The sequence below is a fragment of the Homo sapiens genome, chromosome 1 (genome assembly GCF_000001405.40).
Source record: "Homo sapiens chromosome 1, GRCh38.p14 Primary Assembly".
Lineage (NCBI taxonomy): Eukaryota > Metazoa > Chordata > Mammalia > Primates > Hominidae > Homo > Homo sapiens.
This window is the reverse complement of record NC_000001.11, coordinates 200,021,405-200,046,985: the sequence shown is the minus strand read 5'-3', so window position 1 is coordinate 200,046,985 and position 25,581 is coordinate 200,021,405. Positions and strand designations below refer to the sequence as shown.

The 25,581-nt window shown below is 45.3% G+C and overlaps 1 protein-coding gene across 9 annotated transcripts in view, besides 4 other annotated features; it reads right to left on the bottom strand.

Moving 5' to 3' along the window:
• The window catches only part of NR5A2 (nuclear receptor subfamily 5 group A member 2), a 149,706-nt gene extending 130,430 nt beyond the window's left edge, over positions 1-19,276 (bottom strand). The window contains exons 1-4 of one of the 9 annotated variants that reach the window (NM_205860.3): positions 19,075-19,276; positions 7,191-7,328; positions 3,094-3,212; positions 1,402-1,543 (exon numbers count right to left, since the gene is read on the bottom strand). In NM_205860.3, coding sequence (NP_995582.1) covers positions 1,402-1,543; positions 3,094-3,212; positions 7,191-7,328; positions 19,075-19,138 — 463 coding nt within the window. In that variant the 5' untranslated portion in view covers positions 19,139-19,276. Of the gene's footprint in view, positions 1-1,401; positions 1,544-3,093; positions 3,213-3,987; positions 4,396-5,139; positions 7,370-7,854; positions 8,051-8,213; positions 9,962-11,683; positions 11,957-19,074 lie in introns of those variants that run through there. The other 8 variants (XM_047416753.1, XM_011509381.4, XM_017000904.2 and 5 more) reach the window with 8 other exon arrangements.
• Positions 5,771-6,573: an enhancer, noted in NCBI's record as "H3K4me1 hESC enhancer chr1:200009541-200010343 (GRCh37/hg19 assembly coordinates)". NCBI's record gives its function as "activates a minimal SCP1, AML or CMV promoter by ChIP-STARR-seq in naive H9 embryonic stem cells {active_cell/tissue: H9 hESC(naive)}" and the evidence as "EXISTENCE:reporter gene assay evidence [ECO:0000049][PMID:30033119]".
• Positions 10,161-11,061: an enhancer, noted in NCBI's record as "H3K4me1 hESC enhancer chr1:200005053-200005953 (GRCh37/hg19 assembly coordinates)". NCBI's record gives its function as "activates a minimal SCP1, AML or CMV promoter by ChIP-STARR-seq in primed H9 embryonic stem cells {active_cell/tissue: H9 hESC(primed)}" and the evidence as "EXISTENCE:reporter gene assay evidence [ECO:0000049][PMID:30033119]".
• Positions 16,611-17,111: an enhancer, noted in NCBI's record as "H3K4me1 hESC enhancer chr1:199999003-199999503 (GRCh37/hg19 assembly coordinates)". NCBI's record gives its function as "activates a minimal SCP1, AML or CMV promoter by ChIP-STARR-seq in primed H9 embryonic stem cells {active_cell/tissue: H9 hESC(primed)}" and the evidence as "EXISTENCE:reporter gene assay evidence [ECO:0000049][PMID:30033119]".
• Positions 17,112-17,612: an enhancer, noted in NCBI's record as "H3K4me1 hESC enhancer chr1:199998502-199999002 (GRCh37/hg19 assembly coordinates)". NCBI's record gives its function as "activates a minimal SCP1, AML or CMV promoter by ChIP-STARR-seq in primed H9 embryonic stem cells {active_cell/tissue: H9 hESC(primed)}" and the evidence as "EXISTENCE:reporter gene assay evidence [ECO:0000049][PMID:30033119]".

The window sequence follows — 25,581 nt, the reverse complement described above, 5'->3', positions numbered from 1 at the left end:
TTTTTCATCTGGATGATAATTTATTGAATATTCAGTTGTTTCATATCACTCCTAAGGAAGCATGAGCATGTACCACAAGTGATTTACAATTGTGAAAGCTTAACTTAAAAAAAAGAAAGTTTAATTATTTAAGGTAAAGAAATGCAGCCTTATTATTTTTGTTGAAAAGGAATTAAATGACATCATGCAAAATCACAACATTTACTTATCTTCTGAGTCTCTTACTGTATGTAGTAAGCATCTACCACAATATTTTGCTATTTGGGAAATAATAGTGATTGGTAATAAGAAAATTAATAAGCATCAATTATTTCCTTTCATGATCTCTTAAAAATGATACTGACATTAACAGTCCTCATAATAACCAAAGTGGCTACCTCTGTTCGGAAGAAGCGTGTTAGCTATTCAGCAGATTTATATGATTTTTTTTTTTAGTATTTCTATCAAGTATGAGTTCCATATAACAGAAAAGTTCCAAATAAAAATAGCCTGTGCCTCATTGATCAAATAAAATGCACTCTTGTATCTAGCACCATCGGTGATATGTATCCCTGTTATTGCTTTATTTGCAGTATATTTAATCCATGGAAAGCAAGCAGGTCAGAGGCTAGAAAGCAGCAACATACCATAGTAGTCCATGAACTACAAATTATTTACAGCAGTCACATATTAACTTTACTGCCTGCCAATCTGTACATTGTAGTATAGGGTCTGCTCTTTCAACAAAGTTCAAGTGTGGCTTTTCAGGAGCCACTTTCTTGTTCTTTTCAGACCTTTGCTAATGATTTAATAGTTCGTTATTTTTCATGTTTCCTGATTCTCAATTTTTTATTTTGCAGCCTCAGTCATTATCTTTTAAAAAAATACATTTCTACACTATCAAAGATAATATCCTACATGAGAAACTCCTTTTCACCATTAAAGGCTTTAACTCTTAAGAATCATGAAATTAGTAGTTAACACTTGTGACAAGCACACCTCTTTTAAAAAGAATTGAAATCAAACTTTTCCAAGGGTATCTTGATTTAAAAACTCAAAGAATATTTTACTTTTAATAGTTTTACAAATTATTCTTGTTTTCAGTTGGATTGCTTTAGTCTTATTTTCATAACCTGATCTTTTTCCCTTTTTTGTGTCTAATGCATCTGCTCCCCAGACTAAAAAAAAGGGGGTGGGCAGGGGAAAGACAACTAATATTTTAAATTTTTTTCCTAGTAGATTTCACCATGATTAAATGAGACTCAGACTATTCTGCAGATGAAACATAGAAAGATCTTACAGTATTGTCGGTAGTGTTAAAATGCTGGGAAAATAATGTTACCATGCTATAAGTACAATGTTGTTTTACAGTTCATGTCCTTGGAGAGTTTTAATAGGCAGTAGTCTTTAGAAGAATCTTACCTTCTAGCTTCATTCCAACACTTAGACATTTTTGAAAACGACAGTAAGGACAACGCTTTCTCTGTGTTTTGTCAATTTGGCAGTTCTGGTTTTCTATACATGTGTACCTTTTATTATTTTGGACTGTTCGCTTAAAAAATCCCTATAAGACAGAGAAAATAGTGAGACGTATTATAAATCTAACACCCGTCTTTTCCATTGTTTCATTTTAAGAAAATCACCAGTAAATCCTCTCATTGCACTATTTGAGCCCTTATGTGGTTCTGTGGTTTATTTTACATTTCAGCAACATCAACCTTCCCAAACTGTGCCAGGCCATGGTGGAGATTTTTCTGGCATCAGTTTTATTCTTGAAGAATTACGTCAAATCCTGGGGAGATTTGGCTACCCACCATTTTATCCCAACAGTCAGAAAAAATACACTCTATATAGATAAATTTTTTTTTAATCTATTTTCCTATTATCCCACATGTTCCTGATAGAGGTACTCATGAAGTCCTGGCATTGTTTTTAAGTAGTCTGATATAATTTCAGTGATAAACCATTGCAAAATGCCAGTGGAAAAAACTGAATAGCAAAACACCTCAGATTTTTTTTTTTTTTTAACAAATGTCAACACTGGATAGTTAAAAGCAAAAGGATTTAAAGAGTAAAATGGGAAAATGCTCATAATTCCACTGGAATACATTCAAGTATGGGAACTGTTCTTAAAAAGGCAAAACTAATGGAAGGAAAAAGCATGTATCACAGATAGCTGAATTGTAGCACACAGGGTATGAGCTTTCCTTATATTTTATATAAAAGAATTAATCAAAAATAAAATGTGTAGCTTTATAATATGAGATTTACCAGGATAGTATTCATATTTAACCCACTTGCCACAAAGAGAAACATTCTTACTTTGTTATAGAGAATGGAGGGATTTTCCTGGTGGTGGTTTAAGTAATTGTACTGAGTTTTCCACTTAAAAACAAAAACAAACAAACAAAAAAAACTTTGAAAAATAGTGAATATTGAATTTACTGGGAATGTATTAAAAAGTCCTGAGATAAATTCTTAAAGTATAATTTATATTTTTGGTAACAATATAGCATATTTTACATATTAAAATCCATGCACTTAAATAGGTCATATATTTATAAAAATTATTATATTAAAAACTAAAATCTGATTTCTTGGTCTTTATGATATAAATTTCAAAAAATCCTTAAAATTATTTTGGAATAAATCAAGATGAAATCACACAGTTGGGAATTTAGGCTTTTATGTCTGTGGATAAAGAATGTTTAGACTTATAGCACAGAAATACTCTGAAGTTAAAATGTATTTGGGAAATAGTTTGTCATATTCCCTTTCAAGAACAACGATGCTTTAAATATATATAAGTCAAGCAAAATCAATATTTAGGACTGTTAGAAATGGAAGTCTTTCTACAGCTATATCACTTTACTACAATAAAGTATTTTAGAACCATGAGACTGGCAAAGTTTTCTAAACAGCATAAATTTCTTTGCCTTTTGAACTAAATCAGACACACACTTCTAAGAATCATCTCCCTAAGACTCTCTCTTTCTCCCTCATTTTTAGTTGAGTCTTTAAAAAAGGAGCCTAAATTTAGCTTAAAAGAAGTAATCCACTGGTTTATTTTGGTGTTGGACATTATATTTTTCAGGTAGCAATGTGTGAGCAAACCTTGCAGCTTTCACAGGTGAGGAGCCCATAATGGTACCCAGACACTTTATCTCCACACACGGGACAAAGCTCTTCCAGATCTTCATCATAGGAGTAATTCACCATTTTAAATTGAGACACTGAAACAAAAAGAGAAATGTATACACATATTCAATTAATTTACATGTAGGTGTTAATCCTGCAACAAAAAGCATTTTGGTGATTGCTGGGCAAATATCACATGGTAAAATATAAAATAAAAACAATTTTTAGCAAGGTCTTACTGAACTATTTTTACAAGTAAAACATCTTTTGTCATCAATAAGCATGGACCTCATATAATTCCATGTGCCACAAACAATTCCAACTTCTTTTGTTAACATTTTAAACTGACCGCTTTTAAACACAAGTCTCATAACTCCACAAAGCAACAAATAGAGACATGAATTGCATAAGGTGACAGTTTAGAATTTCTTTTAAATCCCTATGAAGTTAAATTCCAAAATGTCACCTTCGCCTAAGGTAGAGAAACAAGCGCAGGCTTTATTCCCTCCCTCTTGAAGTGGTTTGCTGCAAGTGCACCTTGCTTACAGGGACAGCAGCACCAATTTGCAAACTCTGTCCGACAGAGAAACTGAAGCCCCAGAAACCCGCTTCTCAGCAGCAGCCCACTTTAACTAAACAGCCTGAGGCTCCCAACTTTCAGATCTGTTAGATAATCGAAACATTCAGTTCCGTATTGACAGTACTTTTCTATTCTGGATACTTTCATCTCCTTACGTTTGAAAATCTGTGAAAATAAAAAGAAGGAAAAAGAAAATAGAGGACGCCCGTACGGGGAAAAATACCAGAAGAGTAAAAGACACACAGAAGGGTTTTGGTTTCAAAGTATTGAAGCCCTGTAATGAACCTCACATGTTTCCGATCATCATAGCAAAATATAAACACCTCGAGATCGCCCTATTAAAGTTAAACAGAAATCAGGCCGCCACGACGCGCGGCGCGGCTCACTGCCGGGATCGGGTAACCGCCTTGCTCCGGACGCAGACCCACGAAGGCGTCTTCGCAGCTAAAAAGATGACAAACTATGCACAGGAAGGGCAGTGACCAGGAGACCCCAGGAAGTGCCTGATCCGGTATTTCCCGGAGACTCCACATCCACACAGGTCAAGTATGGGAGCGCGGGGCGCGGGTGGGCGGGCACCCGCAGGTCTGCGCAGCCGGGACCCTGCCCGCACTCCCCCGGGCACTCTTCGGCGAAACCCGTGGGCGCACCAGGCTCTCGCCTAGGCTCTACCTCCTGCTACCCAACGGCGCACAAACACGCAGCCGAGTTTGTTTTAAGTTAATCAGTGGCGTTTGCAGGGGGTGGGGCAGGTGGGGGATGGAAAGCCACGGCCGGGCAGAAGTTTCCTCTGATTTGTTTACCAAAAAGGAAAGAGAAATAGCCCCCACCCCATCGCCAAAGTCCTCCGCCACAGTATCGCCGCAGTGATGACTTGTTCTTTTGAAAATAAAGTTATTTTTTTTCTCTTTGGTTCCCGAGCTCTTCGGTCGGAAAGGGCCGTCAGGGGGGTCACTTGCAGCACTTTGCGGCTAAGGACTGCGCGCAGACCCGCGGAGTTGACGCGTCTCTTCCCGGGCCACAGAGCCCTAGGATGGCTCACAGGGGAGTGAGTTAGCCAGAGTTTGGGAACATTCCGAGAAAAGAGGCTCCAGAGAAGGCAGGAGCCTGCCTTCGTGAAATATTAATAAAGGGATGCTAGGCGAGGTCCTCCCAGCGGTGCCAGCCTGAATCCCAGCCCCAAGAGACCCCCACTAGGGTTTTAGGAACCTGGGGGTTTGGGAAGGGCCGAGGGTTCAGAAATTCCTTTATAGCCCCTAGACGTTGATAGCTCTCCTAACAATCGCGATGACAGTCTTGAGGCATGTTTTAGGAACAAGGCGAAAAGCGCACTTTCCCAACTGTGATCTTTTCTACCTCCCCTTCCCCCAACAAAGTAAACTCTAACTTTACACCAAAGGGGCACAGATAGGCAACTGCTTTCAGAGGGACTCCGTGCCTACCTCGGGGACCCGACATCGAAGAAAGACCGAGGCATGAGGTAGAGACTCTCTTGAAAAAACCCAAAGACAGAGGCTGAGTAGGGAGACGCTGCTGTGTGAGGCCTGGGCACCTTTCAGAGTTTCCCAGATGCTCTGGTGCAGCCGAAGTAGGCGTTTGGGGAGGCGAACTCATCGGGGCAAAGAAGCGCCCACACTCTTCCCCAGTTTCGGTCTAGGGAAAGAAGAACGGACGGCGGTGCCTTGGAAAGCTAGGGCCTCAGAGAGGCGCACAAAGTTCCCTCAAAGTTGGGCGCGCTGCTCTGTCCCGGGACCATGTAGTGGATCGTCTTTCTGGGCTCCTACGGAGGCGTCCCAGGTGGGAACCAGAGCAAGCAGGAGAATGGGGTCCCCATCCCCCAGGGGCTCCTCCCGACAGGCAGGCCTCTAGTCTCCGACGAAGCCTTGCCCCGGCGCTTCCCATGCTGATTTCGAACCATGGGCTGAGTGAGTGGCGACTTCTGAGCCCAGGCACCAAAGAAAAACTACTTCTCTGGTTTGGGGGCACTAGGTAGTGTGTCCAGAAGACCCCTCTCGAACTTTCCAAAGAAAACGTTACCAATAACATTTCTCTCTCCGCTCTCAAAATAAGTCTTTGGCTTCTCGCGCCAGAACAAGAAGCAGAAACTTTCCTTTTGGAGCCAAGAATCGTGCCGGCCTCACCCAGCGACCCCAAGGGTAGGCCCTCTCCGGAGCTGCCGGCTGAGGTCCCCCAACCCAGCCCCCCAGCGCCACTTCCCCGATGCCCCACACTAAACTGGAATTCCAGGTGCCCGGAAGAAAGGCTTCTTTGGACCAACCGGGTTCCCATAGCAGCCAGACCCACAGGTCAGCCTCCGGGGCTTCAGCTCTAGGGGACTCTCACAGCCCTACCTAGAGGCTTGGGGAGACCCCAGGATGACCGATGGGGTAACGGATCACAACCCGCACGGCGCACGCCCTCCAGCTACGTATTTTCCCCTCCGCGGTAGGGCGACTACAGGTCCCCCGGCCTGAGCGCCCGGGCGCGCCGCCCACTCAGCACCGCAGAGTGCACCAGCCCTGAACTCTGCTCTCAACACCTCCCAGTCCTTTCAAGTTCGCGCAAGGGGATGGCAGGAAGCGTTCCGGGATCACAGGCCCGCCGGCCCGCACATCCTGCACCCTGGAAGGGGCGAGGATGGAAGAGCACCGGTGACTTTTCCTAGCATTGTTCCCTCCCTGGCCCAGAGCAAATGAGATAAACTTCTGAAGGGCTTAATACAAGCCATAGGGTTGCTATTTTGGAATGAGGAGAAAATGTAGCCAGCGGGATTTGTTTTTTTGTTGGCAATCAAGAGCTGGGAAAACGAATGGGACCTCCATATTTTCAGATCTCAGATTTTAAAAGGGGGCAATAAACGAACCGCTGTCCTCCCACCCCCAACTCACTCAGCACTACGCGTACAGGGGATGGGGTTGGGGTAACTTGTTCCCTTCAGTTCTGCCAGCAATGTTGAATTGTCCAAATCCGAGCTGGCTGCGGGTGTCCGCCTGGGCTTTTGGTGTGGTCACATGTATTCTAATAGCGCTAAGACAATCCTTTCGGAGGTCACCTCTTTCTGTAGTTGACTTTCCTAGACTGGGTCGCCTCCCTCCACACAAGAGTACTGGTTGAAGTACAGTACACACCAATTCCAATGACAGAGAACCTGTTCGGGTGTCCAGTGAGACATTCCATTTCTTAGAATGATCTTATTATTCTAAAGTACCTTTAGCCTGAAGCTGCCCTGCTTGGGTTGCCATAGAGCTGGAAGCCTCTCTTTCCTTAATTAGAAGCGGCCAATTAGACGTTGCTTGGAAAAACCTCTGCCCCGCATTGTTCAAGAGCCATAAACTTTTATGCCTGCACCTGGGGAGGGGGCTTGACTCCCGCGGCTGCGAGCGCCCAGCGGGGCTACTCCCGCGCCCGCGCGGGGCGGGAGGCTGAAGCCTGCAGGGCGAGCCCGGGGGTGGGGAAGCAGCGGGAGCCGGAGCGCCGCGCGGCGCCTCCTTACCTTGCATGTTTTCCGGCATCTGGCCCTGTTCCCCATGCGATCGAGCCAGTCCCAGGGCTTCCGTCTCCACTTTGGGCAGCATGACAAGGCGACCGCGGGCGGGGATGGGGGATCCGTGTCGGTCCGGAAGCCCAGCACCTGGACACGGGCAGCACAGATTCAACTCCGGCGAAAAGAAGGAAGGGGCGACCGGGATGCCTGCTAACCCAACCCTCTCGCCTCGCCGGAGCGTGCCTCCGCCTCCTCGGGGCTGCCGGGCAGGACCTCTGAGCCCTGTCCGGTCTCGCAGCTCCGGAGCCGCCCCCAAGCTGCGAGGAGGAGGTCAGGGTTAAAAAAGGAGGCGAGGAAGACAGCGTCCCGGCCCTCTGGTTCGGCTCCGCAAGGGCGCAGGCGGCGGCGGTGGCGAGGACGCAGCTGCCCGGGGCGCGGAGCCGTGAACCGCCGAGCTCCCGGCGGGCAGCGGAGGCGACCGCGGGGCTGCTATTGCCGCCCCGGCTGTGCCGCTGCCACTGCTCCCGGACGGCTCGGGCGACTCCTTCCCCTCCCTCCACCGCCCTCTGGCTCAGGATCGGCAGGGGTCTCTCTCCTCTTTCTCTCGCCTCCCTTCTCTCTCCCCTCCTCTCCGCCCCTTCCCCCTATCTCTCTCTGCCTCTCTCTTGCTCACTATCGCAAGTGTGGAGTTGTGAAGTTCCAACCTCCCTCTCCTGCCTGGTCCACTCCCCGCGCGGGACCGAGAACGGCCCTTCCCAGCCCCGAGGGTGACGGTGCTGGGAAGGACAGGGGGGAAGACGAGGGGGAGAAGGAGGTAAGTAGGGCCAGGGGTTGGGGGAAGGCTGGATTGAGGGGTGAAGACAGTGAATGCGGACGCGGGTTCCGGACTCAGGTCGGACACTAGCCGCCAGCCAATAAGGATGAGGCTCAGGCTCCAGTCCCCCGGCCTGCCCCAACCTCTTCACCCCGCCTCACCCCCTCCCACCCCACCCTGGCCCGGGGCGGGGGGATGTAAATGCAGCCGGGTCTTACAGCTAGTCAGAAGCGACCTCTGTCTGAGCGTGGCGGCGAAGGAGAAGCAGCCAGAGCGGCAATTTCCTCGATCTGAGGGGAAGCAAGAAGAAGGGATGGGGGCGCGGGTGGGCGTGTGCCCTTGCTAGTGTGTCGGATGAGGAGATGAAGGGAGTTAAACACCCACTTAAACCATTGAAAGGAGAAAATTTAGCTGACCGTTCTTACATGCAGAGTTGGTCTGCGGTCAAGGGTCCTCCAGCTTCAACTCCCCAGGGCACTGAGACCCTGAAGAGGCGACACGTGGGCCCCGGCGCCCTGAAGGGGCCGAGGGTCAGCTCAATGAGAGGCGGGCCACAAGCCAAGAGCTCACTCATAGAATTAGAGGAAGGGGCAGCGACTCCTCTTTCCCCAGTCTGCTCCCTAGTCCCTTCGTTCACTTTTAAAAGACCCTCGACTGGAGCCCAAGATCATCTAAGCGACAGACTTTCCAGTTTTAGTGACCTGTGTTTCCACACGGAATACAAGGATCAGTCCAGGCTGTACTTTTTCATTCTGTTGTCTGATGGGACCATCCACTTGAGGCCGAGGCCCAGCATTTAAAAAATGTTTTAAAGAACCATCTGTTACGCAAGCTCTTCGACCACCAGCCCAGCCGCATCTTCAAAGTTTTCAGATCTCCTCCCAACAAGATGAAAAACATTCTTTCCAGCCTCCTGACTGCATGCGAAATGCCTCATATTTAGAATCTGCTGTGCAACGAAGTAATTATCAGAGTCCACCCACAAGGGGGTGAATTTGAATCTCAAAAGATCTAAGTTTATTCTATTTGAATGGTATAGAGATTACACATTGAAACTGCCCAATCCGGTATTTGGTGACTTGGAAATTATTCCAATCTTTGCAGTGCATAATGTACATAAAATGGGTTGTTCATCACCCACCCACACCTGGCAATTCAGGTACTACTGACTCTTAATTGATTTGTCATTTTGCTCTTCAATATATATTCAGGATCAAAGTTATTTAGACTTCAGCTTTAGTAGCAACTTCAGGTTTCGTGGAAACATTTAAACTTATGAAGGCCTGTCCATTAGTTTGTATGGAGAAGTGGGCTGAAGTTGCCAAAAGCTCCAATTTTTGTGATAGTATCAAGTATCACTGTCACTACATTTCAGTATTCCTAGTTGTTTTAAGTATCACTGAGAACTAAGAAAATAAAGAAAGGGAGTCAGTTTCAGGGCTCACTGCAGTGGTTGCCCTGCTTTGCTCGTGAACTTTGAAAATCAGTTTATTTCAAAGCCTTAATTAAGAAGAACCTCCTCCCACAGCAATGCGAAGAATTTATGGGTGCACTTATGATACAGCACCTTTCCCAGACCCTAGCATGGCAAGGATGCAGGACTCCAAACGCTTGGTCCTAAGAGGAAACCTCCAACCCCTAGTGTGTGGTGGTGATTTCACCTCTGCTTGGTGAAGCCGGGGGAAGTTAGGAGAGTTGAAAGAAGTTGAAAGAGGGTCTGACAGGACCTTGAAATTGTAGTGTATCAAGAAACCCTGCCTTGGCTTGAGGCTGAACCTGAGGCTGAGGCTGACCTAGTGAGACAAGCTTTGTGACCATGCTCATAACGCCAGCTGCCAGGGCCAGAAGGGACTTGCTTAGGCCACACTAGCGACTTCTTGGTCCATGCCAGTCTACCCTCCCACCACATCCCCGAAAGATGGAGAGTGGTGGTGGCAAAAGGCCAGCTGGCACTCATTTATCTCTCCACAGGTGGACTTTCCAGGAAAGAAAAATCCTCACAAAATGGGAGGGGTGCGGGAGGGAACGGTGGCTGGGGACTGGGTTTTAAAAATCCATGCTTTAAAAAATTAACGCAGGAGCTTGTATCACGGAGGGAAGCCCTTTCCTTTGCTTTGAAAGTCTAGTCCAGGCCAAAACCTAAGCGTAGCAGCGAAATGGAGGGGGACTGAAAGAGCAGAAAGTCTCGAGCGAGAGAAAACGACCTTTCCTAAGAACCAAGGGAACTCCTAGCTCAGAAGCCTAAGCCCTCGGCGCTCCAGGCCTTTAACTCGACGATGGGAAACGCTCCCTGGGGGCAGCCCTATTTCAGATCCCCTGGAAGGATGTCAAGATCCCCGCCAGCAGTGGACAAGGCAAGGAATCTTCCACTGGAATTGATTCTTGCCAGAGACCCGAGGGCACACAAACCTTCCTCAGGTAGCTCTGCAAGGGATTTAAGGAAGCAGCTGGGTCTCCATCCAAGAGGCAGAGGCAGGGGCGGCGGCACCAGGCTTCCAGCGTCAAGCTCATTACTGCCCTCCAAGTGCACCCTTTCTTCTCCCTCAGAACTCCCTCCTCCCTCTGAGCACTCACTCTGGTCCTTTGACCCTTCAATTCTGCTGGGCAAGGGACCCCTGTTGAAGCCGGGGACCCGCTAGCTCAGTGACCTTGGACGGGTCTGGGCGTCCCCCAGAAAGCCCTCTCCGAAAGGAAGCTGTGGGAGGAGGAACCCGAGTTTGCGGTGTCTAAGATGGGTTATTTGAGAATGGTTCTGGGTTCCCGAGGCCACAATATGAAGACAGCCAAGTGGCTGCGGGAAGGGAAAGCAGTTGAGATGTAAGTAGGTGGAACCGGGTCTGTGTGGTCTAAACGCCGGCGCCAGCGGTGGTCTGCACTGACCCATAAATACACCTACCGCGGGTGGACAGACGCATCTCATCCTCCGCCGGGGACATCTTAGCAACTGCCACTGTACCTCTTAGTGTAAGCACACTTAGGAACCCACCCCGTACTTACCGCTGCGGGAATTGTAACTGGTGGCGGAGACCAGAGACTAGAACCCGGGAGGCCTGGGAGTCTGTGGTGAGACCGGGGGACAGCTCTGCTCAACTACCTTGCGCGTTCTCAATTTCTTTGCACTCCCTCTGCCAACTTCTGGCAAACTTCTCTCCTTTTCCCCCACCTCCCCTCCACCTCCTTCTTTCCGACGAGACAGGTCTCCAGGGCTCGCCCTTCCCGGTTCTGACTTTGTCTTAAAGTGTTGATTGACGGTTGCAATTACGAAGGATGATGGCTCGGGGAGGCTCCCGCAGCCTTGATGAGCCGGAGAAGCGCAGTCCTAGCATATTTTATCCACGCTCGGCGTTACGGGGCCGTGCGCGCCCCATTCACCCAGCTGGCTGGAGCTGAGGAGGCCTCGCACTCCCCACTCGCGAGGATGCAACTGCCTGCCTTCCTCCCCACCCCCTCCTTCCCGTGGTTCAGCACCGCATTTCGGAGCGTGAGCTGGGAGCAATCAACTCGACCTGACCTGGAAAGTGTTGGTCAGCCCCCGCGCGCTTGACCCGTGCGGGCTGCAGCGGGAAAAAATATCAGGATTTTCAGGAGCGGTTCAAGTTTCCTGGGCTCGCAAAAGGTGTGGCAGACACATCTTTCCCCGCGCGCCTGGGTAGATGACCCACCCAAACTTGCACAAAACTTGCAATACCTTCCTCCTTCGAAACAATTTCTCCCGTCTTCTCTTCCATTCCCACTTTTTGGTGCTTTTTAAGAAACCAGGACAATTACTTTTTTCGTCCCACATATCTACCTTTTAGACCCCGAAAGAAGTCTAGATTTTTTTCAGATCTCCATTACTAGGCCAGGATAGCCCGAGGGGGAAGAGGAGCAAGTTTTTCAGCCTACGGGAGCTCCGGGTCTGCCTAATTTTTCCGCCCCTCCCAGCCGAAAAACCCATCAGAAGCTGCTTTTGCCTTTCTCTGAAAAGTTTAGCCAGAACTCCAGTTTCATTCCCTGGCTCAGAGGGCTGGGCTACCCGCCCACGCCCGTAGGCTCCACCCGCCCTCATCCCGAGCGCTTTGTATTAGAAACAGACGGGTTAAATTTCAGTACAGCCATAGGAATTACCAGGGAGCGTCGTGTTGATCGAAGCTTTAAAAAAGCAAACCTGAATAGGTGAGCAGTCGTGCCTTGTTTAAAAAAAAAAAAAAAAAAAAAAAAAAAAAAAGCCTTTCTGCTGCACGTGTGAATAACTACTTAAGACATCAACATCAGCCCCTAGAGCAGGATGGCGATTGATTCACAATCACTATGAGAGTATCTCGATCTGGCGTGGCGCGGTTTTTATCGCGGAGGAAAACGAAAGCCGAAGCAATTATCTGGGTAATCCAACCTACCCCCCACCCACCCCCCCGGGCAACCTCCCACCCTTGCCCCAGAGGAAAGGAGGGCTTTTTGGAGAGTTTGGCCTGGATATCGGAATCTACGGCTCTTTGTATAAAAAGAGTTCACTGAAGAACCTTTTCACTTATTTTCTTTACAGCACGTTGTCCCAACCCAGGGGTCCTGGAGTGCCCCGCCAGGGTATAGTCGGTGCCCTTAGAAGAATGTAACAGGGAGATCCGGTCTTAAGAAAGGAGTGGGGCAGGGGAAATAATCTCGGGTAGGTGGTCTAATCTATCTCTTCCTCTCTGTAATTGAAATGGAAATTTGAGCCAGTTCCAGTTCAAAACTATTGGGACTCCATCCATTGGAATCAATTCTGTCCAGCCTCGGGGCCAACAGAACGACGATCCCGGCGCTAGTAGGCCACAAAGCACCTTGTGAAACTAGCTGAACACTTGCAGTTGCATCCTTTACACCCTCTCCTCCGCTTCAACCTGGGTCAGGAACAAAATCCTTAGCACGAGATTATTCTAGGCTGCCATTTAAATGTATCCGGCGATACTGGAAACTTCTTGATGGAAGGGGAAACATCCTGCATTGCTTCAGAATTCCTCGGCTTTTGCAGCGAGGGGATGGATCCAACCAAACTTCTTCCTTCAGAAAAGCCCCTGCCTGAGCTTCTGATTCTTAAGGTCAAAGAGTGCCGGGACCGCAGAGGTGCGGAGTCCAGCAATTTGGGTCTCACTTGGTCAGCAAAGAAAGTGGGAGCTTGGAAAGGCAAGACTTAACAGTGGTACCGTCACACTCAAGCATGGGGCGTGGAACTAGGGAAAGTGTTATGGTCTGGGCAGTTACAGAGGTTGCACAATTAGAAGGGCGTGGGCTTTTCCAACATGGTGATAACTTTCGCGATTACGAGATGGTGTACAGTGTGTGCCAAGGCTTGAGAGAGATTCACTTGTTTTCTCCAGAGTTTCTTGTCTGGAAACTGGGAAGTTGATTCCAGGACCCAGCAGTGGATTCCGACCAATTTTCTTTCCATTCCTGTAGAGGCCGCTGGAGCAGGTGGAGCTTGCAGAAGGCCGGGAAGCAGAGGCTGCAGGCATCCAAACCCTGAGCAAGGAATCCAGCACTTACCGTGAAAAATGCTAGCATGGGTGTGGGACTAGCATATCTCACTGCAAGAGGCACAGCTGGGTTTGTCAAAAGTGCTTTTTTTTTTAATTGACACCTAAATTGTCTTTCCCTATCCCCTCCTCTCATGGTACAACAGTATGTTTGTTTATGCTATCTAATTCAGTCACTCAGTTTGAGTGATTTCCCTGCCCTCCTCATACTCACTGACTCTATAACAAGTACATGCTCTGAATTTCCTCTCAGTTCCTTCTCACCATCTGTTGGTAACCCTGCGAGTTGTTACCATACACCACAAATTCACAAGCTAAACTTCATCCAAACTCCAGAGATCCTTTCCAGGAAACTCCAGAGTAGGGGACCAGAAGTGCCTTTGTCCCACCCCACTCAGACCTCAGTCCTCCCAGATGTGATTTCCACTCTGCTTTCCATACACCACTCCCTGTGCCACCCTTCTGAATTCTAGAAGGATCCAAATATGGTTTCTACCGTGGAATGGAAATGAAGATTAAAAAGCCACTTACAAATATGTTTCTTAAGCTCGAAATGTCCATTGGAGGAAAGTCTGCATAGACCAACATTGTATTAAATCATAATTCCTTTATATCAACAAGAACAAGTGGTTACCACTTTGGAGAAAGAGTATGTATTTCAGAATATTTCTTGGGTTCTATTTACAGTTCATTCTCTTGACAAGCTGAGTAAATTGCTTGACCTCTGATTCCATTTTTTAATCAGTAAAATTGGGTTAACAAAGTAAACTTTATAGTTAAATGAGACAGTGCCAGGAAAGAAATATATTACGCTGGATATATATATATATATCAGTTCCCCTTTGTCTTTCCCCTTAGCTTCACTCAAACTCATCATTCTGTAAGGAAAGTAAAAAGGGAATCACTAACCATTCTAGGATCACCTTCCAGTGGGATGTGCTTGCTAACTTGATTGTCTTGCAGGGCTTGACAAAGTCCTTGGGGACAATTACATTATCACCAGATAAAACTGCTCATATAAGTGCTCATGGTCATCTGCATTCAGGTTATTTGGTGTTTAAAAGTTACACTCCAAATATCTTTTCTTACTTATCAACCACACAAAAACATACATAACAGCTTCCCAAAAGACTAAAGAAGAGACAACCTTTATCAGCTTGCCTGGTCAGTTCCAGTTCACATGGTTTTCTCAAGCTTGATCTCTCAAGATCATATTGGTCACATTTCAACACTTCCCCAGGGCCTCCCCAGAGCACAATGCCCTCCTGAAGTTCCTTGAAGCCAACTGGATTTTTCCAAGAAGTCTGTTCCAATAAGGTGAAGCGTGAGGAAGTGCAACTCAAAGAACTAGTTCTATCCTAAGGTAGACTCTAGAGCTGCGGAGTGAAGTTGTCTTGCCTGCCTAGTGCATCCCTGGGGGTGGGGATTGGGTTGGGCCTGTAGGTGGAAGTCTGACAATGTGCCCTTCTCTAGCTCAACTTATGCTCAAGGCTGAATCCAAGATAATCCTAGACATTGTGTCTGGTAGAGGGGTCAAGTAAAGGAGAGAAGCATTAACAAGCCTCTGTTCTCCCTTCCTCTATAAATCTCTCTTGGTTTGTTAGAAGAGGTGTTAAAGATGCCAGGTGTGGTGGCTCACATTTGTAATCCCAGCACTTTGGGAGGCTGAGGTGGGTGGATCACCTGAGGTCAGGATTTCGGGACCAGCCTGGCTAACATGGTGAAACCCCATTTCTACTAAAAATACAAAAAATTAGCCAGGCGTGGTGGCGTGCACCTGTAATCCCAGCTGCCTGGGAGGCTGAAGCAGGAGAATCTCTTGAACCCAGAAGGCTGAGGCTGCAGTGAGCCAAGATCATGCCATTGCACTCCAGCTTGGGCAACAAGAGTGAAACTCTGCCTCAAAAAAAAAAAAAAAAAAAAAAAAGGTGTTAAAGAAAAAGAAATCCTTTTTTTGTTTTGTTTTGTTTTGTTTTGTTTTTTTGAGATAGGGTCTCACTTTGTTGCCCAGGCTGGAGTTCAATGGCACAATCACAGCATCCTCAACCTCCCTGGCTCAAGTGATCTTCCTACCTCAACCCCCAAGCCCTAGTCACTAGGACTACAGGCACATGCCACCACACCCACACCCAGCTAATTATTTATTTTTTTATTTTTTGTAGAGACTGGGTCTCACTATGTTGCCTAGGCTGGTCTGGATCTCCTGGGCCCAAGTGATCCTCCATCCTCAGTCTCCCAAAGTATTGGGATTACCAGTTTGAGACACTGTGCCTGGCCCAAGAACTCTGTTAACTCTGGTCACTACCTGTGGATCCAGGCCAGAAAAGAGGAATCTGAGAAGCACTGTTTTGGAGATGGACTCGGGCATGGAAAGAAGGGAGGCTCTAGAGTTTAGCTTCATAGAAGAAACTGGCAGCCTAAGCCCCAACTATGAGAATCAGAACATGGGCTTGTGTGGCTGGCATTCTAAATAAAGCTCGCTGGAGGTTAGGGTGACATAATGGCTATCACACTTTCCGCTGATGAAACGTCTACTTTCAGAGATCCTTATGAGCACAGAGCTTGCTGGAGGTTATCACTGAAATAAAATCAGACTCAGAGTGTTCAGGGGACCAGATAGCAAGACTCACATTACAGACTCAATACAGTGTTTGCACTGTGTATCATGTACCCCTAAGTATGCAGACATAACCTTCTGTGGATAATATGCAATATTATACTGAGTGCATAAAATATTCTGCAAATGCAGTTAATTTGAAGAATTATGGAAATTTAATATGAATCAAAGCATAATATTGGGCACTGTGGGAGTGGTCAATAAATATTTGTTTTATGTATAACATTTCCTACCACACAGATATGGCTCTTTTCTTGATATAGGTAAGTATAAAAAGCTTCTAAAGTTAGTACTGCATATTATTCAATAGAATCATCCCACTTGGGAGAAAGAAGTAAACCAAGACCAGAAACCAAGAGTCTGGCCAGTGTCCCAGAGTTAGTTAACTTTAAGGGAACAATCTAGTTATAACCTGAGTGTGCTGCTTTTACACTACAATGAATGATTATCTTGCAGGTAGGCAGAAGGAACAACTTTATCTTAATTCTGCTTTTCTATACAAGCACAGACATCTATACAAAACTTTCATGTAACCATCAGTGTGCATACAAGATGTAGCCCCTAGTTAAAAACCATGGAGACAGCTTTTTAAACAAAAGGAGGCTCATTTCCTAGTACAACACAACTGAATTAAATATAGAATTGTAAACCCTGACTGATGTCTACATACACCGGGCTCGGTTTTGTGAACCACTCAACACAGCCCAACTTGCAATTTGCCATCTGAAAGCTACCCTCGAGACCCTCAGACACTCTCTACAGCTGCACCCGTGGGTTCTTCCCAGTGGGGCTACCCTGGGCAATCAGAAAGACCCATTCAAGGGGCATCTCTCCCTCAGGAATCGGGTCAGGCCCTTCAATCCAATAGTTCAGTCCGAAGGCTCCTCACCGCCCTCTGTTCCTCTCCCTCAGCCCTTTGGATGGCTCCGTCCAGCCATTCACCCTGGGAACGACCGTTAGCACCCTCGTGGAGGCTACGAGGTAAACAGATTGTCTCCCGGTGCCACAGCCGCCTCAGGGTCACTAAGATGTTGCAGGTGCGGACACCTCACAACCACCTGCGGGGCTGCAATACCAGGAGGCGGAGGGGATGTGCTTGGGTTGGGAAGGGGCGGGTGGCTGCGAACAAGATCCTGAAAGAGGTCTCTTTTACCGGCAAATTGACTGGAATTTTGTTATCCCGGAATCCGGCGCCCGGAAGTGCCTGCACAGGTTTAGGATGTTGGGGTAGTCTCGCTGAGGCCAGGGGAGAGCCTTCTTCGGTACTTTTCTTGAGGTTTAGTCCCCAGCAGCCCCTTATGGGCTGGACCGACAGTCCTCCGGTTCCCAGCCCTCTGCGGTGGGACCGATTCCAGAGCTGCAGGTGTTCTCTGTTTACGCTCAGAGTGTACCGCCTCGGTCCCTTGCGATGTGAGTTGCGCGTGCGGTAGCTGGAAACACAGTTCTTCCAGGGTTGCAGAGAAAAGTGCAACAGCGTCTCTTTCCCCTACCTTACCCTCTTTAATTCACCCATGGGGTGTGGGGGAGACTGTGAGGGATCGGCGTGCGTGGTCTCCCGACCCAGCTCAACTCTATTTTGGCAGCGGCCAGCTGGGGCTGCGCGCAGCAGGAGCCCAAGACCGCCCGCGCGGGCGCGAGCCCCCGAGCGCGCGTCCCCCGTGCGCGCGCAGTCCGCGTCTCCGGCCCGAGCGCGCTCTAGCTGCGGCCCCGGACGCGGAACCGGAGCTGCGCGGAGCTGCCGGGAAGGACTCCTTGCCTGCGCACCGCGGCGGTTCTGCCCGACGAAAAAGATGCGAAATGGTTGTGTGCTGCTCTCTCATCTTTCTTGTGCCTGTATTTTCTGTGTTATCTGCAGAACAATTGATTGTGTGTTACACCCTGCTTACCTTCCCCATGTTTTCTTTTTCGTAAGTATAGAACATTTTTGGTAAACATTTCCTCAAGTGATATACTTTAGGGTGTAGTTGGCCCATAAAAAAAGCAATCTGTGACTCCACTGCATTCTGTGGAGTCAGCTGACTAGGAAGGAAAAAAGAGGAAAAACTCAAGCCTTGATTTTCTTTCTTGTTATAATGGAGCTGAGACTCAGAGAGCTCATGACAGGCCCCTGCAAATTCGGAGGGAAATTCCAGTCTGAAAGCCTAGGCAAATGCTGCCAGAAAAGGCACAGGTCCTTCAAAAACTGGGGAAAGGCAGAAGGGCCTGACTTCCAACAGACAAATAATTACAGATCACTGGGAATCACTTCCCTTCAGTCCTTTACTTTTAGAATTAATTGAATGTAGTCTTGCTATAAAATTCATAAGTTTGTAACTCTATTTTTTAAATGAATAGTAGCTTTATTTACTTATTTCTGTTTGTAAAAACAAAATATACTAATTGTTGCGAGAAACAGTAGCTCTTCAAATCCTTTACTAATGATGGTCTAGTTTTTTTGGTTTTTTTTTTTTTTTTTTGGAGGTGGGGGCATGACTTTCATTCCCCAGGAAAATAAAATGAAAATTTTTTACGGTATAAGCAGAGAATAAGACACCATACTTTTGTGTGGGTTGAAAAGTAACAAATACTTGACAGCTATCTGTTAAAGTTTGATCAATGATCACTCAATATGATTAACTTGTTTCAAATTGTTCAAATTTTAGCTTATTATTTCTGATTAAAAATTATCAGAAAATATTAAAGTTGAAATTGATAAAGTATAAATTATATTTTCTGGCTGATTAGGGTATTAGAATGACACCAGTAAACACTAGATATAATGAATAATATTCATATGTTGAAATATCCATTTGCTTTTTTTGAACTGCAAGAAAGATAAATGTGTGATATATATACATAGGCTTATTGTGTGCTTTTAATAAACATAATAGGAAAAGCCATGACTTAAAATGCAAAATCCATCAACAAGATTAAATTATATGTATGTAGTAGCAGAATAAATAGATGATCAATAGAGAAACTCCTACTTACCAATAGGTGTAAGTCCGTGCTTTAAAGACTCTTGTAAATCCCCAGTATCTGAATTAGAAGACATTCTTAGTGAAATTATAGGCAGTTCTTTGGCTTAAAGCAGAAATCATTGAGCAAAAGAAAAGTGCAGCTTGTCAAATTTCGTGGCCTTGGGAAGGACACATCAGACTACAGTAACCCTTAGTGAAAGTTAAGAAAAAGCAAAGGAAAAAAAAAAATCCAGAATTCATAAAGTTACAAGCAAGTCTTTCCCTGGACTCTGTACTTTTTCCAACATTAGTGACCTGCTGTAAACCATGTATCCAGTTTCATGATGGTTTCTAATCAGAAGAATGGAAACTTTTGATAGGCTTTGACTCATCACATGACTCTATGCAGGTTGATAAGAGGACCCTGTTATAAAGTGACAGCAAAAGAGATAAGAATTCTTGCCAGATAATGGCAAAGAAATGATTAACTCAGAAGTGGAGAGGTGCTATGCAGCACAGAGAGTGGAAAGTTGTAAAACTGAGGGGTCAGAAGATCAGACTTAGTGGATAAAAACTGCAAACCAGCTAACTAACTTAGGCTAACTAAACTTTGGCTTGTGACATACCCCTTGATGTCATCACCTCTTTGCATAGAGGAGGACAGACATAGCTCTTCTGACCTCTGTAAATACATTTTAGATGATAACATTGGCAGACATTAATTCTTTAAGTGATGACTACAAATGTGATCGACACTCTGAAATACTACAGGTAGCATTTCCAAGCTTATGGTTATTTATTTATTCATGTTGTGGTCAACCAACTTTTTTATCGGGCCTATTCATTAGATGAGGAGTTAACCTTAGCTTGTTTCTACATTGGTCATATGGCTAAAACACAATCTATCTCTTTATCCCCAAAAGGTAAAACTTATGCTTTGAGATTAATGCTGGCAAAATGGTGAATATGTAACACATTTTTCATAGTTATAAAGTTATTATTCTTAGGCTGGGCATGGTGGCTCACACCTGTAATCCCAGCACTTTGGGAAGCCAAGGCAGGCGGATCACCTGAGGTCAGGAGTTCGAGACCAGCCTGGCCAACATGGTGAAACCTCCATCTCTACTAAAAATGCAAAAATTAGCTGGGTGTGATGGTGCACTCCTGTAATCCCAGCTACTTGGGAGGCTGAGGCGGGAGAATTGCTTGAACCTGGGAGGCAGAGGTTGCAATGAGACGCTGTTGCACTTCTCTCTGCAACCCTGGAAGAACACAATCCAAGATCATGCCACCGCACTCCAGCCTGGGCAACAGAGTGAGACTCTGTCTTCAAAAACAACAATAACAACAAAATAACAATTTTTTTTTTTTGAGATGGGTTCTCGCTCTGTTGCCCAGGCTGGAGTGCAGTGGCACGATCTCGGCTCACTGCAGCTTCTGTCTCCCGGGTTCAAGCAATTCTCCCGCCTCAGCCTCCCCAGTAGCTGGGATTACAGGGGCACACCACCATGCCCGGCTAATTTTTGCATTTTTAGTCAAGACGGGGTTTCACCGTGTTGGCCAGGCTGGTCTCAAACTTGTGACCTCAAATGATCTACCCGGCCTCCCAAAGTGCTGGAATTATAGGCGTGAGCCACCGCACCTGGCCAAAATCCTCAATTTTAATATTGACACTCCTTTTAAATTAAGTAAATGCAGGTTGTGTGTATGGGTACAGATAATTTTTAACTCAATATATAAACATTTGTTGTAATAAAACTTCATATATCAGATGATAGATTTAGCAGTCTTTGTCTAAAGATTCACATTACAGAATTTATGGTCTATTAATTTATTTAGAGATGGGATCTCACTCTGTCACCCAGGCTGGAATGGAGTGGCACAGTCATAGCTCACTGCAACCTCAGACTCATGGACTTAAGCAATCCTCCTGCCTCAGCCTCCTGAGTAACTAGGACTACAGATGTGTACCACCACACCCAGCTAATTTTTTAAATGTTTTGTAGAGACAGTGTGTTGCTGTATTGCCCAGGTTGGTCTCCTGGGTTCAAGCAGTCCTCCTGCCTCAGCCTCCCCAAGTGCTCAGATTACAGGTGTGAGCTACCTGTAAACCCAGGCCAGTCCTTTTTTTTTTTTTTTTTTTAATGACAGAGTCTTGCTCCATTGCCCAGGCTGGACTGCAGTGGTACAATCTTGGCTCACTGCAACCTCCGCCTCCCAGGTTCAAGCAATCCTCCTGCCTCAGCCCCCCTAGTAGCTGGGATTACAGGTACGTGCCACCATGCCCGGCTAATTTTTGTATTTTTAGTAGAGATGGGGTTTTGCCATGTTGGCCAGGCTGGTCTCGAACTCCTGACCTCAGGTGATTCACCCGCCTCGGCCTCCCAAAGTGCTGGGATTACAGGCATGAGCCACCACACCAGGCCCTTTTTTTTTTCTCTTTTGTTTTTTAATCAGATTACTGTTAGTTATTTCCCCTCTTGCCTCACTTCATGTCAGTTGAAATGTTGGAATACAGCATCTGAAAGTGCTGTCCACTGCCTTTCAGCTGTGCTGCTGGCTCTGAACTTTGCCCAAGGTGAACTTGCCTTTATCGGGTTGGGGTGGCTTGGGGTCTGGGTGACCCCTGAAGTCAGAATCAGAAGTGGCCACATTCGTGACTTGTGGTCTTCTGAGTATAAGAAATGTCCCCATTTGGATATCCTCACAGCCTCATGAAAGTAAGATTTTATTGAGTAGACCTGCTCATGGAAGGTGGGTAGTTTCCAAGTAGCACTGGTACACACCAAGTGAAATAACTGGTAATCCTGGCTGTCAGCGGAGCCAGGTCAACATGCTGGTATACGTGCTGTTTTTCCTTTGAGCTTTAAGTTCTTATGTACACATAACCAATCCAACCTACTTTTCATTAACACCATGTTAGGTATTATTTTCTTAGATTGATATTTTTCTTTTAAAGAAAAAAAAATCATAGGGTGGATTTTAAAATATTATTATTGAAACCAATGATTTCTTCTTTGATTTTAGATGGAAACCCAGAAGGGACCTTCCCCATCTTCTCTCTCTCTCTCTTTCTCTCTCTCTCTCTCTTTTTCTCCCTCTCCTTTCCTCTCCTCTCCTCTCCCCTCCCCTCCTCCCCTCGCCCCTCCCCTCCCTTCCCCCTCTCCTTCCTTCCTTCCTTCCTTCCTTCCTTCCTTTCCTTCTTTCCTTCTTTCTCTTTTCTTTCTTCTTTCTTTCTTGACAAGGTCTCACTCTGTCACCCAGGCTGGAGTGCAGTGGCATGATCTCGGTTCACTGCAACCTCCACCTCCCGGGTTCAAGTGATTCTTCTATGTCAGCCTCCCAAGTAGCTGGGATTACGGGCACCCACCACCACGCCCAGCTAATTTTTGTATTTTTAGTAAAGATGGGGTTTCACCATGTTGGCCAGGATGGTCTCAAACTCCTGACCTCAGGTGATCCACCCACCTCGACCTCCCAGAGTGCTGGGATTACAGGTGTGAGCCATGAGGCCCAGCTAATTTTTGTATTTTTTTGTAGGGACAGTATATCACCATGTTGCCCAGGCTGGTGTCGAACTCCTGGGCTCAAGCGATCCTCCTGCCTTAGCCTTCCAAGTGTGTGGAACATATATTTCTATGGACGTATTTTGCATCTGTAACTGCTTTGAAATATGTAGGTCTTCTTTTACACCTGCCAAAGTGTTGGATACACATTTCCTGAGGCCTTTCATATCATTCAGTCCATAAAATTACATAGTCCATCGGATCCTCTCAATGCACTGGTTGTAGCTCTGACAGTTTTCCTGAGGAAACCAGTCAGTTTGGGTTGCTGAATGCAGCCTATATAAGCACAAATTATGAGATCATGGTAAGAATGAAGGCAGGGTAGCAGGGTGGTTAAGAGCCTAGGATTTGAGGTCAGAAAGCTCAGGGCTTCCATTTGTACTTTGCCTCCTTCTTGGTGGCAAAGTAATGCTTGGCTTTTTTAAGGCTTGAATTCCTCATAAGTAAAAATGACAAAAATGATGAAATCCAGTAGTTTTTGTGGTAAGATGTAAATGAGAAATAAAGTACTCAGTATCATGTCAGAGAAAGAAAGTACTCAACGTGTCATCAAAAGTGAATATGGAGGTTGGGCGCAGTGGCTCACACCTGTAATCCCAGCACTTTGGGAGGCTGAGGCAGGTGGATCACTTGTCATCAGGAGTTCAAGACCAGCCTGGCCAACATGGTGAAACCCTGTCTCTACTAAAAATACAAAAAATTAACTGGGCAAGGTGGTACACGCCTGTAATCCCAGCTACTCTGGAGGCTGAGGCAGGAGAATTGCTTGAACCCAGGAGACGGAAGTTGCAGTGAGCCAAGATCGTGCCACTGCACTCCAGCCTGGGTGACAAAGTGACACTCCATCTCAAAAAAAAAAAAAAAAAAGTGATTATGGGCTTTGTGACTTGGGATCTTAAGTGAAAGACACATCTTCCTTAGTGGAATTTTAGAAGACATACGAAAGTTTCTGTTTTTGGGTTTTGTTTCTGACACCAGTTCTATCCTAGTCACATACACTATTAGAGACCTTATAGAAGACCTCATAGGATTCATATAATTAAACAGCATCATAAAGTGATTTGTGGCTGGGCACGGTGGCTTAACACCTGAAATCCTAGCACTTTGAAAGGCTGAAGCAAGAGGATCACTTGAGGGCAGGAGTTTGAGACCAGCCTGCACAATATAGTGACACTCTATCTCTTAAATAATAAATGAAATAATAAATAATGAGGAATAAGGAATAAATAATTATTAATAATAATAAATCCAAAAATAAAGTGATTTGCTTTTTTTCTCATCCTTATTGTACATGGTTAACAAAGCATGTAATAGCACAAAGATTGAATTTCATGCTATACTGTCTGCCTCTAATCAGACATAATTATTTTTAAGAATGTACAAAAAATTGGGGGTGGTAGTATTACCAGCTTGCCTAATAACTCCTAACAGAATCTTTAAAAGACACTATTTGCCATTTGTCACTCTCTTGCTTTCCTACAAAACTCACTGGCTTGTTGAGGAAACATTATATTAATGAGTTACTTTGGTCCTTTGAAGCTTATCCATCAGGCTGATTGAATAGAAATACGTACTCAGTACTTTGTGAGAAATGAACATATTTTTCTGAAAGTGAGGCTAGAGTAATGTTCACATGTGGTACAAATAACAGATGCTTGGGACTCAGCCTCAGTGACAGTTAACAAGCAATTTATGTTCTGGCCATGCGGGGGGGAGGACACAAAACAAATCACACCCTCAGTTTTTGTATTTATTTTTTCTCAATCAAGGTATCATCTGACCCTTTCCATTTGGCAAGTGTGGGCATTTTCCATTACAACATTCTGTTTTAAACACCTTCACTACCCCATTGAACTCATTCGATACCACAACATGGAATACTTCTAATGACTCACATTTACAAGAATATGTTTATAATGATAAAAAATATTTGCTAACAGATTTCAGAAAGGATTCGTAAATTATTGACAGATAACTAATGACTCTAAGGCATCTTTGCCAAAATCCAAAAAGTATTCAACAATGTCACCTGAACCCATATTGCATGATGATGTTAAAGTTTAGTTAATGAATTACAGTCAGTGTAAACTTCGTGACAACACTATTCCAAGACATTATGACATATCTATTAGGAATTGATATTCCTGCAAAATTGGATTTATCATTAACCCCTTGCATGAACAAACTAGAAAGGCCCTTTCAGTATGTTTATAATATGGGTTTATTAACAACAAACACCTTAAAATTTTCATCATTCAAATAGACTGATTGCATCAGATATGGAGGAGTTTTTAACAGAAGTCTTATAAGTACTGAACCAGTTAGTTACTGCCAAAGCATTGCTTAGTAGTGCATTTTTGCTTGTACCCTTTGCTAACATAGGCATTTGTCACTGATTTTGTACAGAACCTGAGCTAGGGTTGGCACTTTTTATTTTTTATCAACTTTCTTAATAATCCTCTCCTCTGCCAAATTATATAAGATGATGGAATGGTACATTTTGGAAAGGAGTGACTGAGTAAAGATTTCTTCTCATTCTTTTAAATAACTGTGAGAAATGTGGCACCTGGCAGGAAAGATAAGTGACTTTTACACAATACGATTATGGCCAGGTAAATATTACTCACTTTTTATAACACCAATAATTAAACAGAGCCTTAGTCAATCTTTTGGCAATTGAATGTTTAAGACTTTACTCTCTTGTAGGCTTGTGCTGAGTTCCCCATGTTTATCACAATCTATGATCTGTGTCTGATGGCTCATAGTTCATATCTTTATTTAGAGTACAAGAAATAAACTCAATATCATTTTGTTTCAATTTAAGGCCTTTAAAGACATTTAAGCAAACAACTAAATGATCTAAATTGTTTTTAAAAGAGGAAACTGTAGCATATCCAAAGTGATTTCCCTAGGAATCACAGCATAATTATTATTAAAACACAAAGCAACAAAATAGATCTCAAGCATTTTTT